At 44.3% G+C, this 12,547-nt stretch overlaps 2 protein-coding genes across 59 annotated transcripts in view, besides 11 other annotated features; one reads left to right on the top strand and one right to left on the bottom strand.

The window, feature by feature from the left end:
* The window catches only part of SEPTIN2 (septin 2), a 38,673-nt gene extending 30,137 nt beyond the window's left edge, over nucleotides 1–8,536 (bottom strand). For 11 of the 45 annotated variants that reach the window (NM_001349288.2, NM_001349307.2, NM_001321032.2 and 8 more), the window contains exon 1: nucleotides 7,909–7,966. Coding sequence is in view for 11 of the 45 variants with exons in the window: in XM_024452921.2 (XP_024308689.1) it covers nucleotides 6,297–6,392; nucleotides 7,336–7,423 (184 nt within the window). In the remaining 34 variants the exon portion in view is untranslated. Of the gene's footprint in view, nucleotides 1–3,603; nucleotides 3,689–5,546; nucleotides 5,655–6,291; nucleotides 6,393–7,335; nucleotides 7,470–7,575; nucleotides 7,714–7,908; nucleotides 7,967–8,280 lie in introns of those variants that run through there. The other 34 variants (NM_001321031.2, NM_001349313.2, NM_001349287.2 and 31 more) reach the window with 23 other exon arrangements.
* Nucleotides 6,769–7,493: an enhancer, noted in NCBI's record as "NANOG-H3K27ac-H3K4me1 hESC enhancer chr2:242255813-242256537 (GRCh37/hg19 assembly coordinates)". NCBI's record gives its function as "activates a minimal SCP1, AML or CMV promoter by ChIP-STARR-seq in primed H9 embryonic stem cells {active_cell/tissue: H9 hESC(primed)}" and the evidence as "EXISTENCE:reporter gene assay evidence [ECO:0000049][PMID:30033119]".
* Nucleotides 6,769–7,503: a biological region, named in NCBI's record as "NANOG-H3K27ac-H3K4me1 hESC enhancer GRCh37_chr2:242255813-242256537".
* Nucleotides 7,444–7,503: an enhancer, noted in NCBI's record as "active region_17426". NCBI's record gives its function as "activates an Ori minimal core promoter by ATAC-STARR-seq in GM12878 lymphoblastoid cells {active_cell/tissue: GM12878}" and the evidence as "EXISTENCE:reporter gene assay evidence [ECO:0000049][PMID:35858748]".
* Nucleotides 7,494–8,218: an enhancer, noted in NCBI's record as "NANOG-H3K27ac-H3K4me1 hESC enhancer chr2:242255088-242255812 (GRCh37/hg19 assembly coordinates)". NCBI's record gives its function as "activates a minimal SCP1, AML or CMV promoter by ChIP-STARR-seq in naive H9 embryonic stem cells {active_cell/tissue: H9 hESC(naive)}" and the evidence as "EXISTENCE:reporter gene assay evidence [ECO:0000049][PMID:30033119]".
* Nucleotides 7,494–8,243: a biological region, named in NCBI's record as "NANOG-H3K27ac-H3K4me1 hESC enhancer GRCh37_chr2:242255088-242255812".
* Nucleotides 7,694–8,043: a silencer, noted in NCBI's record as "silent region_12536". NCBI's record gives its function as "represses an Ori minimal core promoter by ATAC-STARR-seq in GM12878 lymphoblastoid cells {active_cell/tissue: GM12878}" and the evidence as "EXISTENCE:reporter gene assay evidence [ECO:0000049][PMID:35858748]".
* Nucleotides 8,144–8,243: an enhancer, noted in NCBI's record as "active region_17425". NCBI's record gives its function as "activates an Ori minimal core promoter by ATAC-STARR-seq in GM12878 lymphoblastoid cells {active_cell/tissue: GM12878}" and the evidence as "EXISTENCE:reporter gene assay evidence [ECO:0000049][PMID:35858748]".
* HDLBP (high density lipoprotein binding protein) overlaps nucleotides 8,219–12,547 on the top strand; it is an 88,382-nt gene continuing 84,053 nt past the window's right edge. For 12 of the 14 annotated variants that reach the window (XM_017003941.3, NM_005336.6, XM_011511060.4 and 9 more), the window contains exon 1: nucleotides 8,219–8,321. The gene's annotated coding sequence lies outside the window, so the exon portion shown is untranslated. Of the gene's footprint in view, nucleotides 8,322–8,660; nucleotides 8,790–12,547 lie in introns of those variants that run through there. The other 2 variants (XM_017003942.2, NM_001320965.3) reach the window with 1 other exon arrangement.
* Nucleotides 8,264–8,313: an enhancer, noted in NCBI's record as "active region_17424". NCBI's record gives its function as "activates an Ori minimal core promoter by ATAC-STARR-seq in GM12878 lymphoblastoid cells {active_cell/tissue: GM12878}" and the evidence as "EXISTENCE:reporter gene assay evidence [ECO:0000049][PMID:35858748]".
* Nucleotides 8,584–8,963: a silencer, noted in NCBI's record as "silent region_12535". NCBI's record gives its function as "represses an Ori minimal core promoter by ATAC-STARR-seq in GM12878 lymphoblastoid cells {active_cell/tissue: GM12878}" and the evidence as "EXISTENCE:reporter gene assay evidence [ECO:0000049][PMID:35858748]".
* Nucleotides 9,194–9,243: an enhancer, noted in NCBI's record as "active region_17423". NCBI's record gives its function as "activates an Ori minimal core promoter by ATAC-STARR-seq in GM12878 lymphoblastoid cells {active_cell/tissue: GM12878}" and the evidence as "EXISTENCE:reporter gene assay evidence [ECO:0000049][PMID:35858748]".
* Nucleotides 12,361–12,410: an enhancer, noted in NCBI's record as "active region_17422". NCBI's record gives its function as "activates an Ori minimal core promoter by ATAC-STARR-seq in GM12878 lymphoblastoid cells {active_cell/tissue: GM12878}" and the evidence as "EXISTENCE:reporter gene assay evidence [ECO:0000049][PMID:35858748]".

Here is a 12,547-nt window from a genome sequence, read left to right as displayed (position 1 = left end):
TACAAAAGGAAGTTAAACAAATCCCTTCAAGTGTAATCAATAGTAGCCAATCAAATTTGTATCTTTAAATGAGCCTTAGTTCCGAAAATGTTATAATTCTGTTTGGCACCTCCATTTTGCCTATATAAACAATCCTCATTTTTCCCCACCCTGGGAGCGCTAATCACCATTCTTTGGTGTAGCTCGCTTACACTCTGTACTTAAATGAATTCTTTTAACTGAATCAGGAGCCTTTTGATTATTTTAGGTGACAGCATCTCAATTACTTCAAATATTTCCCTAGGAATAAGACAAGCATCTATCATTACAAAAATAAATTCGATTAAAAAAATTAGGCCAGACGTGATGCTCACGCCTGTAATTCCAGCACTTTGGGAGGCCGAGGTAGGCAGACCACTTGAGGTCAGGAGTTCAAGACCAGCCTGGCCAACATGGTGAAACCCCATCTCTACTAAAAATACTGATTCAGCCAGGCATGGTGGCGCTTGAGGTCAGGAGTTCAAGACCAGCCTGGCCAACATGGTGAAACCCCGTCTCTACTAAAAATACTGATTCAGCCAGGCGTGGTGGTGCGTGCCTGTGATCCCAGCTACTCAGAAGGCTGAGACAGGAGAATCGCTTGAACCTGGGAGGCGGAGGTTGCAGTGAGCCGAGATCATGCCACTGCACTCCAACCTGGGCAACAGAGTGAGACTCCATTAAAAAAAAAAAAAAAATTAGATGGTGGCTGGGTGCAGTGGCTGACGCCTGTAATCCCAGCAGTTTGGGAAGCAGAGGCAGGACTGCTTGAAGCCAAAAATTCAACACCAATCTGGGCAACATAGCAAAACCCTATCTCTACAAAAAATTAAAAAATTAAAAAAATTTTTAAGTTGATAAAAGCAACTGTATATATATATGTACGCACATATTCCATATTTTCAATAATATTCAAATTTTTTTTCAGTACTGACTATATGTTAGACACTAGGGACACAAATGGGATACACACGGATACATACTTCCCTGACCTCTGGAATTATGTCATTTCCCCTCTCTCTTTGAAACCTTTCAAGGAGTAAGGGACTTCATTACATAGAGCACTGTAACTTGAACATGTTTGCCACCCACTGGAGTTTCCTAGAGCTACCTGAGAACTAGATTTTGACACTGGGGTACAGAGAGCAATGTGAACTACATTTATGAGGAAAGGAAATAGTACTGAAGGCATCTGAGTGTCTGAAAAATGTGACAATATTTTTAAAGATATGTGGAATTTTTTTTTCTCTTTTCTTTTTTTTTTTTTGAGACGGAGTCTCGCATTGTCTCCCGGGCTGAAGTACAGTGGGTGATCTCAGCTCACTGCAACCTCCACCTCCTGGGTTCACGCCCTTCTCCTGCCTCAGCCTCCCGAGTAGCTGGGACTACAGGCGCCCGCCACCATGCCCGGCTAATTTTTTTTTAATTTTTAGTAGAGATGGGGTTTCACTGTGTTAGCCAGGATGGTCTCGATCTCCTGACCTCATGACCCGCCCGCCTCAGCCTCCCAAGGTGCTGGGATTACAGGTGTGAGCCACTGTGCCCAGCCAGAGATATGTGGAATTTTTAAACAAATTTTAGAAACCCTGAAGCTTTGGAAAGCATGGAGTCTGTTGGCTAACCTTCAGTAACAACCCCAAGAAAGATGACTGCTGTCAAATTTGGTTCCCTCTGGAGCTTAGAAACTTATTAAAAAGCTTCTCTCACTTTGCCTCTCGATTCCCCTCCCCCAAATCTTAACTTCCTGAATACTGTGTCCTCTGTTTCCCTTTTGACTGGAAATGTTCCCAGCTACTTTGGAAGAAATGAGATCCCTGCATCCCCAGTGTTATTTGGCTTGGTTAACCAAGGGATAGTAGCAGTAAGGTTCAAGAGCCTTTAATTTCAGCAAAACCTAAGAATTGAGAGCAAGTGTGAGTGTGGAGGAGTAGAACTTCCTAAAGGGAAAGAGAAGGGTCAGATGTAATACAGACAGTTTTGGCAGAAGGAGTTGGCATCTCGTTTTCAAATAATACAGAGATAAGTATCTGATTATGAAAGTAAAAAAAAAGGTAATCATTAAAGAAAATAACAATGAGAACTTCCAAATTAAGAGAAAAATATGGAGGAAACAGCAACTTCATCAAACCAGCAAAAATATGGAAAAGGAACAAGAAGAAACAAAATCAGAAGTAATCCTAAATCAAGACAATGGGGACAAAATTCAAGAATATCAGTTATCAGTATAAATGTGAAATAACCAAATTCTCTGCTTAAAGGAGAAGACAGATTGGCCTGAAAAACCAAGGGAAAAAAAAAACAAAAACAACAAACCGTCCAGCTATAACGTATATGCTTAAAGCAAAAGGAACAAAGAGAGGCTGAAAATAAAGGGACAAGGTAAAAAATAGCAGGCTAGTGCAAACATGGAGGAGAGACAACACTACTATCAGCCAAGGTGGGAATTAAAGTAAAAATAAGCAGAATAACAGGGATAACAAGCTATAATGATAAAAGAAACAATTTATAGGGAAGATGTAATATTCATAAGCCTGTATATTCAAATAATCACTGTAGATAAACACATAAAGCAAGGACTAGGAAAAATACAAACTTAAAAAAAAAAATTCAAGTGAGAAACTTTAATAGAGTTCTCTGAGAACCGGACAGATTCAGTAAACACAGTATGTGCAAGGACAGAGAAGAACTGAGTAATACAACAAATACATCTGATTTAGCAGACATAGAGAAATTTGAATCAATACCTTAAAAAATGTTTGAAGTCATGTATCTACCATAAAAAAAAGCCTAAACAAAATTTGAAAAACATTTTTACAGTCAATGTTCTCAAATAATTATCTGCTTAAATTGGGTGGAAAAAGATGAAAAGTAACTCCCAGTAATTTGTTACATTACTGGATATCCCCAGGATCAAGGAGGGTAACAAAAGCAAAGCCATAAGCAATCTCTAGAAAGCAATGGAAGGAAGATAAAAGCAAAACTTAGGAGATAAAACAGGAAATCAATAAAGAGAAAAAATGAATTATGAGGGGGGGAAAAAGAAGGGTAAACAAATCCAAAAGCTGGTTTTCTTTTTGTTTTTTGAGATGGAGTTTTGCTCTTGTTGCCCAGGCTGGAGTGCACTGGCGCGATCTCAGCTCACTACAACCTCTGCCTCCTGGATTCATGCAATTCTCCTGCCTCAGCCTCCGGAATAGCTGAGATTATAGGTGCCCGCCACCACGCCCAGCTAATTTTAGTATTTTTAGTAGAGATGGGGTCTCACCATGCTGGCCAGGTGAAACTTCCTGACCTCAGGTGATCCTCCCACCCTGGTTTCCCAAAGTGCTGGGATTACCGGCCTGAGCCACCGTGCTTGGCCGCAAAAGCTGGTTTTCTAAAACAAATTCCTCACAAGCCCAATTCAGGAAAAAATAGCAAATATAGAAAAGTAGCTAAAATAATGACAGAGAAGACTACATGTAGCAAAATGGCCCCAAATCTGAAAATGCAGAAAAAATGGGCACTGTAAATTACCAATACAGAACCAAAAACTGGAAAATCTGACTAAAACAAGTATCACTAAGCAGCTGATTAAAGACATACCAATGAAAAGGACCAAGACTTGACGTTAGAGTTGAACTCCATCTAACCTTGGACAAGACCAAAGTCATTTAACTATTCCAAGCCTCTACAGAGAAAAGGGAAAACAATTTGTTTTATGAAGACAGCACAGTTTTAATAACAAACCCAGATGGAGACATAAGAAAGGAACAAAGGAATGAATGAACGCCATAGGCCAATCTCACTCACAAATATAAATGCAAAAATCCTGAATACAATATTTGCTAGCAATTAGATTCCAGGAATGTATCAAAAGCATCTACCAATATTAATCCAACAACACAGTATAGGGGAAAAAAAATCATGCATTAATAGATGCTGATGAGGCATATGAAATTCAGCAACCAATCATAATGAAAACAGTAAGAAAACTGCTGGCAGAGTGTGGTGGCTCACGCCTGTAATACCAGCACTTTGGGAAGCTGAGGCAGGAGGAGCGCTTGAGCTCAGGAGTTCAAGACCAGTCTGGACAACATGGTGAAACACTGTCTCTACAAAAAATACAAAAAAATTAGCTGGGTGTGGTGGCGGGCACCCGTAATCCCAGCTAAGTGGGAGACTGAGGTGGGAGGATCCCTTGAGCCCAGGAGGTGAAGGCTGTAGTGAGCCGAGATGGTGCTGCTGCACTCCAGCCTGGGTGACAGAGTGAGACTGTCTCAAAAAAAGAAAAAAAGGAAAACTGCTTAAATCTAATTCAGGATATTTCTGAAAACCAAAGGCAAATACTGTTTTCTAAACAATAGAAAATTAAATCTATTTAAATTACAACCGATAATTCGGCAGGAATGCCCTTCCATAATTATTTTTAAGCACTTACATGAAAACTTTTACATGAAGACCTATACAAAAAGCAAACAAAACCCCCATGTGCTATCCATTATCCAGCTTCAACAATTAGCAACTGAAGGTCAATAATGTTTCATCTATTTCCACAATCATCAATGCCACTGCCTGGATGATTATGAAGCAAATACGAGATGTAACATTTCATTTATATTCCACTACACATATCTAAAAATAAGGGCTCCTAAAAATGACAAACCATTACACATAGCTAGTTCTTTAATGCAATCAAATATCCAATCAGTATTCATATTCTCTATTCTCTCATTTTTTTCATGTGAATCAAGATCCAAGTAAGATCCAGATATTGCAATTTCACCATGATTATTTAATACTACCTTGGTGAGTTTACTGAATATAATGAAACAAGAAAATCAAAAGAAAACACTTTTTTGCTGATTGGACTGAATACACAGAAAATACAAATACTCGGCTGGGTGCGGTAGCTCATGCCTGTAATCCCAGCATTTTGGGAGGCCAAGACGGGCATATCACGAGGTCAAAAGATTGAGACCATCCTGGCCAACATGGTGAAACCCCGTCTCTACCAAAAATACAAAAATTAGCCAGGTGTGGTGGCGCCTGCCTGTAATCCCAGCTACCCAGGAGGCTGAGGCAGAATCACTTGAACCCGGGAGGTGGAGGGTGCAGTGAGCTGAGATCGCACCACTGCACTCCAGCCTGGCAACAGAGCAAGACTTTGTCTCAAAAAAAAAAAAAAAAAGAAAATACAAATACTCTGGTTAAAAAAATTCTAGAATACGATAATTTAGTAAGGTAGCTAAATATAAGATCTCAAGTAAGTCAAGTACCAGCAACAAATATCAAGGAATAGAAATGGGGGCACATCATTTACAACAGAATTTTTAAAAATCCAAACAAGTAGGGACCAAACTAGAAAACAGGTCCTACATAAATCAAATCATTTTTATTTTCCCCAAATGAGTATGTTATTTAGTCCATTTCTAACTGGAATCCCTAACGGTGTGGCTTTTTTCTTAAAGGATTGGATAAAATGAGCTTTAAGTTCACATGGAAAGATTAAATGCCAATGCTGAGGATAGAAAAGAGCAGGCACTTACCTTATCACCTATTACATGTATCTGATTTCAAACCCACACAGTGCAACATAGAAATACCATAGAGCACCTCTCCCGCACCTCCACAGAACCCCTCAGCCTCACTGAACCCTGTGCACACATATGGGAAAATGGAGAAACTATTTGTCTTAAACTGACATTTCAACTTTGCTTTGACTTTACCAAGTTTCTCCTGCCATCTTTTTTTTTTCCTGTTTTTTTTTTTCTGAAACATAACTTGGATCCACAATGTTTTCTCTCATAATTTATTAACTAATGTGAAATGGAAGGTGAAAGAGGAATTATGAACCTCTGAAGCACATGGTTTTCAGTGAGAAAGCCTTGATCCAGCAACACAAACTGCCAAGCACTGTGATTAACTTAAACACTGGGTGCAAATTGGACCAAAAATGTAGTCAAATGAAAATTTTGTTCCTTCAGATCGTGTTTATTCCACATGCCAGAAGTTGTTTAAAGTTCTTTAATCTTGACCCACAGCTTATTTCTTCCACAGAATAACCCCAATACACATAAAAAACCAATTTTCGCAAAACAAAAGATAGAAGATGAACAACATCTGGCGATGTAGAACCCGGAAGGTCCATGATCTTATTCAAAGCATCTGGATTCTTTGGATTCGGGGAAGGTCCACGTTCAGTATACCCACATAACACTCCTAACAGGGACTGGGGCAGGGATAAGTGGCATGTATGACTACTAACAGAACAGACAATACAAATGGCCTTACCTCACCTCTGCTGCCAAATGAGTTTTGGTGTCCCCATTCCTCCAGACAAAAAAAAAAAAAAAAATACCCACAACTTCTTCTTTTACAGCAGTTTCTGTATGCTGGTATTGGGGATAAAAAGGGGCCCTGAATTACATTTATGAATGATAGAGGGAAACCCTGGCCCCTTTCCCTAGGTCACCTTGCTAGTTTAAGAGCCAGTCAGAATGTAAATCTGATCTAATTAAAACGCTCTTGTTCTTTATTCCTGGCTGTGGCACTGGTGAGAGAAATCAAGGTGGAAGTTGAGGAAAAAAAATCAGGACAACCTTTATAGCTAATGAGATCAATGCCAAGATTATACATAACAGTACACATCATGAGTTAGGATGCTGGGTGGTGCAAAGAACCCATTAATGGGAGCTATCAAAAATCACTGAAAACAATGAGGCTCAAATCAGAAGTATCAAGAATCAGCTTTCATGACCCCTACACCATGATGTTTTTCTTTATGACGGCAGAACTATTTTGAAACATTAAATATATCGGCAGGCACTGTGATTCAAAAAGTATTTGAGAACCTACTAGGTGCTAGACACCAACCGAGGCAATGAGTATGGGTGACAACATGTGCCCTGCCCTCACAGCACCAATAGTCCACTGGACAAATACCATCTGGAACATCAGGTAAACACCTAAGCCTGTCTGGAGGAAATCTAATTTGGGCGGAATCCCACAAGCACAGACTAGGTAAGGAGAAGGCAGTTAAGGTGGGAAGTAGCCAGATTTAAGAGTTTGGGCAATGGCCAAAGGTGCAGAAGTTTGAACTACAAGAAGTTCAGTGTAGTTGGTTCGTGTGTTTCCGTGGAGAGAGGACAAGGTCTGGTGGCACTGACAAGAATTAGACCGAAAAGGTAAAAAAGCAAGCCAGGTTTGTCTGGGCCAGTAGGCCAGGTCACAGTTGGGACTCCACTGAGACCACGGAAGCCACAGGTTTGCTCCTCATCCCCGGGCCAACTCGGCGGCCTCCAACCCTATACCCTACCCCCTGCTGCCTGTCCGTGCCTCGCTGGTGCAGACCTTCGTCGCCTCTCCTCGCCGAAGGTACCCGCAGACAGGGCCTAGTCGCTCTCCCCTCGCTTATCCACGGCATCCAGCCGATGGGCTTGGAGGTTTGGGGGCTGGCCAGTCCTCCACGCCTCAGGGAGGAAATGGCACCGTTAGAAAGACAAGATGGCCACACAAGCTCTAAGTGTTTGTCGGGCCTAAACCTGTATCCTCCCTCCAAGCACCAAACCTCCCGACCTCGACCGCACTCGACGCCCCGAGGCCCAGCACCGACGACAGTGCAGAGGAATTCCCGCAGGGTCAACAAGGGGTCACCGGAATCCCCACTCCCGCGCCCGGGCCTGCCCGTGTCGGAGCCACTGTCGCCGGCACTAGGACCGCCCGGGACGGGGGAGCCCACGATAAGTGCCGAAGAGCCTGGGCTCGGCCGCCCCTCCCCCACACCGCCCCGCCGGCACCCCAGAGCCAGCCGACCACCGCCCGAGAGTATGGGACGAGCGGCGCGTCCCCCGCAGCTCCTCGGGAGGGCCGGCCCACAACTTGTGCGGGGTACACCGGCGAGACACTCACCCGCCAAACAGCCCGAGAACAGGCGCCGACCGACCGCGCCGCGGACCCGCCCAGCGCTCGCGGTCCGCTCACAGCCCGCCCCAGCCCGCCCCGCCCCGCCCAGCGCGCAGGCGGATTGCGTCACCGCGTCACCCCGCCCCTTTGCCAACTGCTTCCTGGCTCAGTGCGACCTGGCCTTCTTCCCCTCCCCCATGCGGCCGGCTTCCGAGTGCGCAAGCCCAGAGTCGTCCGCGTTGTCCGCCTCTGCGCAAGCGCCGTGCTCCTCCCACGGCAGTTGGCCATATAGAGGCTGGGGGTGGGGGGGGAGGTCAAGCGTAGCCTCTTCTCCTTTACCAAGATGGCGGCTTGTCCCTGTTTCGCCACAGTTCCTACCTTATGAGCTCGGTTTTCTTATGCTTATAAGAGTGGAACAGGTAATGAGAATCTTCGCCTTGCGGTGGGTAACTGGAGTGGGGGGAAGGCCGTTTGTTAGAAGGAGACAAGTGCCCACTGAGGAGGAGAGAGGCGGTCGCGGGAGGGCAGGTGGTGGCGGGAGTGCGGAGCGATCACGGGGAGGGGGAGCCTTCGCCTCTCCTCCTGTCCTCCAAGAAGATGGCGGCAGCACCGAGCTGGGGCGCCGAGTACGACTGGGCGGGGGACGGCGAGCGGCCGCGCGAAACTCGTCTAGCCCACCACCGCCGCCGTCTCGATGATCGGGGGGCCTCTCTGGGATTGGCTGCGCGCACGTCACGTGGGGCCGACGGGCCCTGCGCAGACCATCGAGTCGGGCGTCCCTCCCCGGGGACGTGGCCTTCCTGTGCCCGGGCTGGGGCCCGCCGCCCCGCGGGGGAGGGCGGAGCTGGCGCGGCCCCTAGCTTTCTCCTTCTGGTGTGGGGCCCGAGGTGAGACCTGGGGAGTGCTCCGCGAGCCCACGAGCAGCGACGTGGCTCGGGGACGGGAGGGTGCCGTGCCTGGCTGCGGCCTGAGCGGGATGGGCGCGGGCGGCTCCGGCCCGCGGGTTGTGCCCCGGCCCGGGGTGTCCTTTCCTCCCTCCCGCGTGGCCTGGAGGCACTGCAACTGTTCGAGACTCACGTCAAGGCTTGGCGCAAATACCCCTCGTTCAGGAAGCCTTCCTAGGTTTCCCCCGCTTAGAGGAAACACTTCCTGAGTTCCTAATGGCTGACCCGCATGGTGTTGGGAACCTGAGCCTTTCTGACACCGTGGCATGTTGCTAGGGTATTTTTGTGCGTAGCTCCTTTGAAAAGTGGTTAGGTGCTCAAGGCTAGCTGCTACATATCCTCTCCATTCGACTTAAAAAATGAGAGGGTCAGACTTGACATGGTGTTTGGACGCCATGTAAAATCGAAGGAAGTCGACTTGGGCTTTGCTTATTAAACAGTGCCTATTATGGTGAAATTAAACGGCTGAAGGAATGTGGATGAGTCGTAATCTTAAGGAACATGACGATTTGCCCCTCAGTTTTGCGTTTTATGTCCTCAGATTCATAGCTACCTATACCCTAAGCCCTCAATCAATGACTTCACATTTATTTGGTGTCTGCTTAAGGATAGTCACTTTCTTAGCAGCTAACTTCCTTAAAACCCTATTAAGATAGGTTAAGTCACAATTAGGGTTTTGTCTAAGGCTCCTGGTAGCGGCACATTGCATAATAAGCTTAATGTTCATTTAGGGAAGCAAATCTGGGATGCTGAAACACTGGATGAAACGTAGTGCTTAGGTTTATATTTTGATTTTTTGACATGTAAAAGTATCCCTAGGCTAAATTCATTAAGTACACATGATATTAGGATGCTTGGCAACAGTATTTAAAAATAGTTGAAAAGGTGTTTGGGTAAGAATTATTTCCATCATTTGGATTACCGAATCTCTGAGTCTGAAACATCAACCTATCAAGTTTTAGACTTGGGGAAAATGGAGCTGGAGCCTACTGCCTCAAGTCTCAGGGACAGCGTTTGAAACCCCATTAAATAATTCATCATGAGGATTAAACTTTCCTGTTACTGCTATTAGTTTTGCTTGGTGCCAAGCACTGTTGAAGGGACTTAGCTCATCTTATCAGGAGTCAAATTAACGTCATTCGGGTAAAAGTGCATTGAGTGTAAGGAGAGCACCTCAAAGATATAGTTGACCTATATCACGTCCCTCAGCGCCACTAGGCTTACTTGAATCCCTGTTACAGTGTCCTCTCCAGTGGGCAAAGCTAACTTCTCAGTGGCCTGGTGGGAGAATTTCTTCTTGAGTAAATACGTATTTTTCCAGGTTTTGTTGTTTTGGCCTTCCAGTTGTCTGACTTCAGCCTCATGACCTCACTTCTTCATTTCAATTCAAAAAAATATTTGCTGGAAATTGCTGTGTAGGGTTAAGGGTTCTGCAGATACAAAGGTTGAGAGGATATAGTCTTTTCGACCAGGTGCAGTGGCTCACGCTTGTAATCCCAGCACTTTGGGAGGTCGAGGCGGGTGGACACTTGAGGTCAGGAGTTCGAGACCAGCCTGACCAACATGGTGAAACCCTGTCTCTACTAAAAATACAAAAATTAGCCTGGCATGGTGGCGCGCGCCTGTAATCCCAGCTGCTCAAGAGGCTGAGGCATGAGAATCGCTTGAACCCAGGAGGCGGAGGTTGCAGTGAGCCGAGATTGTAGCACTGCACTCTAGCCTGGGCGACAGAGTGAGACTGTGTCTCAAAAAGCCAACAAAAAAAGAGGATATAGACTTTTCTTTTCCTCAGGCAGCTTGTGGTCTAGTGTGAGAGACTTATTTGTAGAAGAGTAATTACATTATGGTGTGATAAGTGCAATGATAGAAATATGTGTAAGGTGTGGACATAGGAAATAGGCAGTGGTTACCTGTTGGAAAGTCTTCCTACAGAATGTGGTCCTTGAACTGCGGTTTAAAAGACGAGTAAGAGTTTTTCCAGGTGGTGCTGAGTGGACAGGAAGACTAGGAAAGAGGAGGCTGACATTTATAGTTGGTGGCATACGTGAGCAACAGGTTTAGAATTTGGTATACTCTTGCCATGGCAAATGGTAGAGGGCTTGGCTCAGACTGTGTACTGAAGGACTTGATGCCCTTCAGTGAGTTTTATCTAAGATACTCTGACCTGAACAGAATTTGAGATGATTGTGCCGGGTCCACTGGGATATCTTACGATCCTTCGTGGGTCATATGGATTCTCCATTAGTGCGTCCCAGCTGAAACTTACAGAAAGGGCTTAAGCAGAGAACATGCTTTTTGGAGTACAAAGTGATATTTTTATTTGGTATGGCCCGTTCATTGTGCATCCATCCCATAGGCAAATGGTGATACGAAAGCTTTTCCCTCTTTTGGTAAGAAGTAACCAAGTTCTGAAAGAAGCATATCATGCGGCTTTCCCAATTGCCAAGTTATGATGACACAAAGTCCAAAATGCGTGTAAAGGTTTTTGACCAAGTAGAAAAGCAGAGAACCCCAACCAGTATAATGTGTCAGAATGCTTTTTCTCTTCAATTGTAAAAGCACCACAACGTTCAACATCTGGAAACCAAGAAAATAATGAAAAGAACCTTTTTTCATGTGTATAATATTTTAAAACTTGGTTACATGTTATTTTTTGGTATTTCTAAAGTCAGAGACATTTTAGAAGTGAAATCCCTAGTAGGCTATTGTTTTACCAAGCACACTGAAGTTCCTCGAATACCGTTGAAGATGAGCTAGACATTTGTTCTGAGACGTGTCTGGACATCATGTGGTTGTGTTAGTCATCTTGTTGATACTTGTTGTTAATTTGGTAAGAATACATTGACTACATACTCTCCCTTACTACTTTTTATTAGCATTCATATTAATCTTATTTCAAATCAAGGTTACAGCTTCATGTCATTTGTAGAGTCAGATAATCCTAGAAAGGCTTGTAAGAAAGAAGTGCCAACATCCTTCCCCTAATCATGTTTCCTCCCCTGCAGAGTATCTACTTCAGCCTTAGTAGATTTCCTTGATCTTTGCCTCCAACTCTAAAGAGCATATTTGCTTGACGTCTGTATTTGTGTCTCCTACCCCTGTTTCATGTGATGTCTCTTCGCTTGACACTGAGAATAGGTAGGAAGTTCCTAGCTTTCTTTCACCCTCTGCCTTCTCAGTGCAAACGGATCCATGGCTGCCCAAAGTGATATATCCTTAATTTGGTTAGTTCAGTATTGATTGTTTATATTATGACTACATATTGCCATTTACAGCTGGACGAAGTGGTATAATAGGATTGTTTTCACTTTTCTGGATAACTTTTTGTTTTCCTGGGTTATTACAAGTCTTATTTGTTTTTGTTTGCTTGCTGCTTGCTCAGTTTTCTATATTTTGTCACTACAATTCAACCCCAAATTCTGAAGCAATTATCTAAATCTTTCAAGAAATTGTCCGTTTTCTTTTGAAGAAAATTAGTATTCCTATCATTTTATCTTGAATAAATCTCTCCCAGCGCCTCCAATCTGCTGCAGGCTTGTCTGTGCCTGAAATCTTCCTGTAACTCTCCTCACTCCCTCTTGTGTTGGAGCCTCACTTTTCTGGAACCTATGTCATTCTCTTGATTTGACTGTCTCACTTCGATGGAGCACATCCTTCACTAGTTGCCTGAGAAGTGCATGGCAGATGAAGTTTTCAGAATT

The sequence above is a fragment of the Homo sapiens genome, chromosome 2 (genome assembly GCF_000001405.40).
Source record: "Homo sapiens chromosome 2, GRCh38.p14 Primary Assembly".
NCBI lineage: Eukaryota > Metazoa > Chordata > Mammalia > Primates > Hominidae > Homo > Homo sapiens.
Note: the sequence above shows the minus strand (reverse complement) of the source record. Positions and strands in the feature narration are given on the sequence as shown.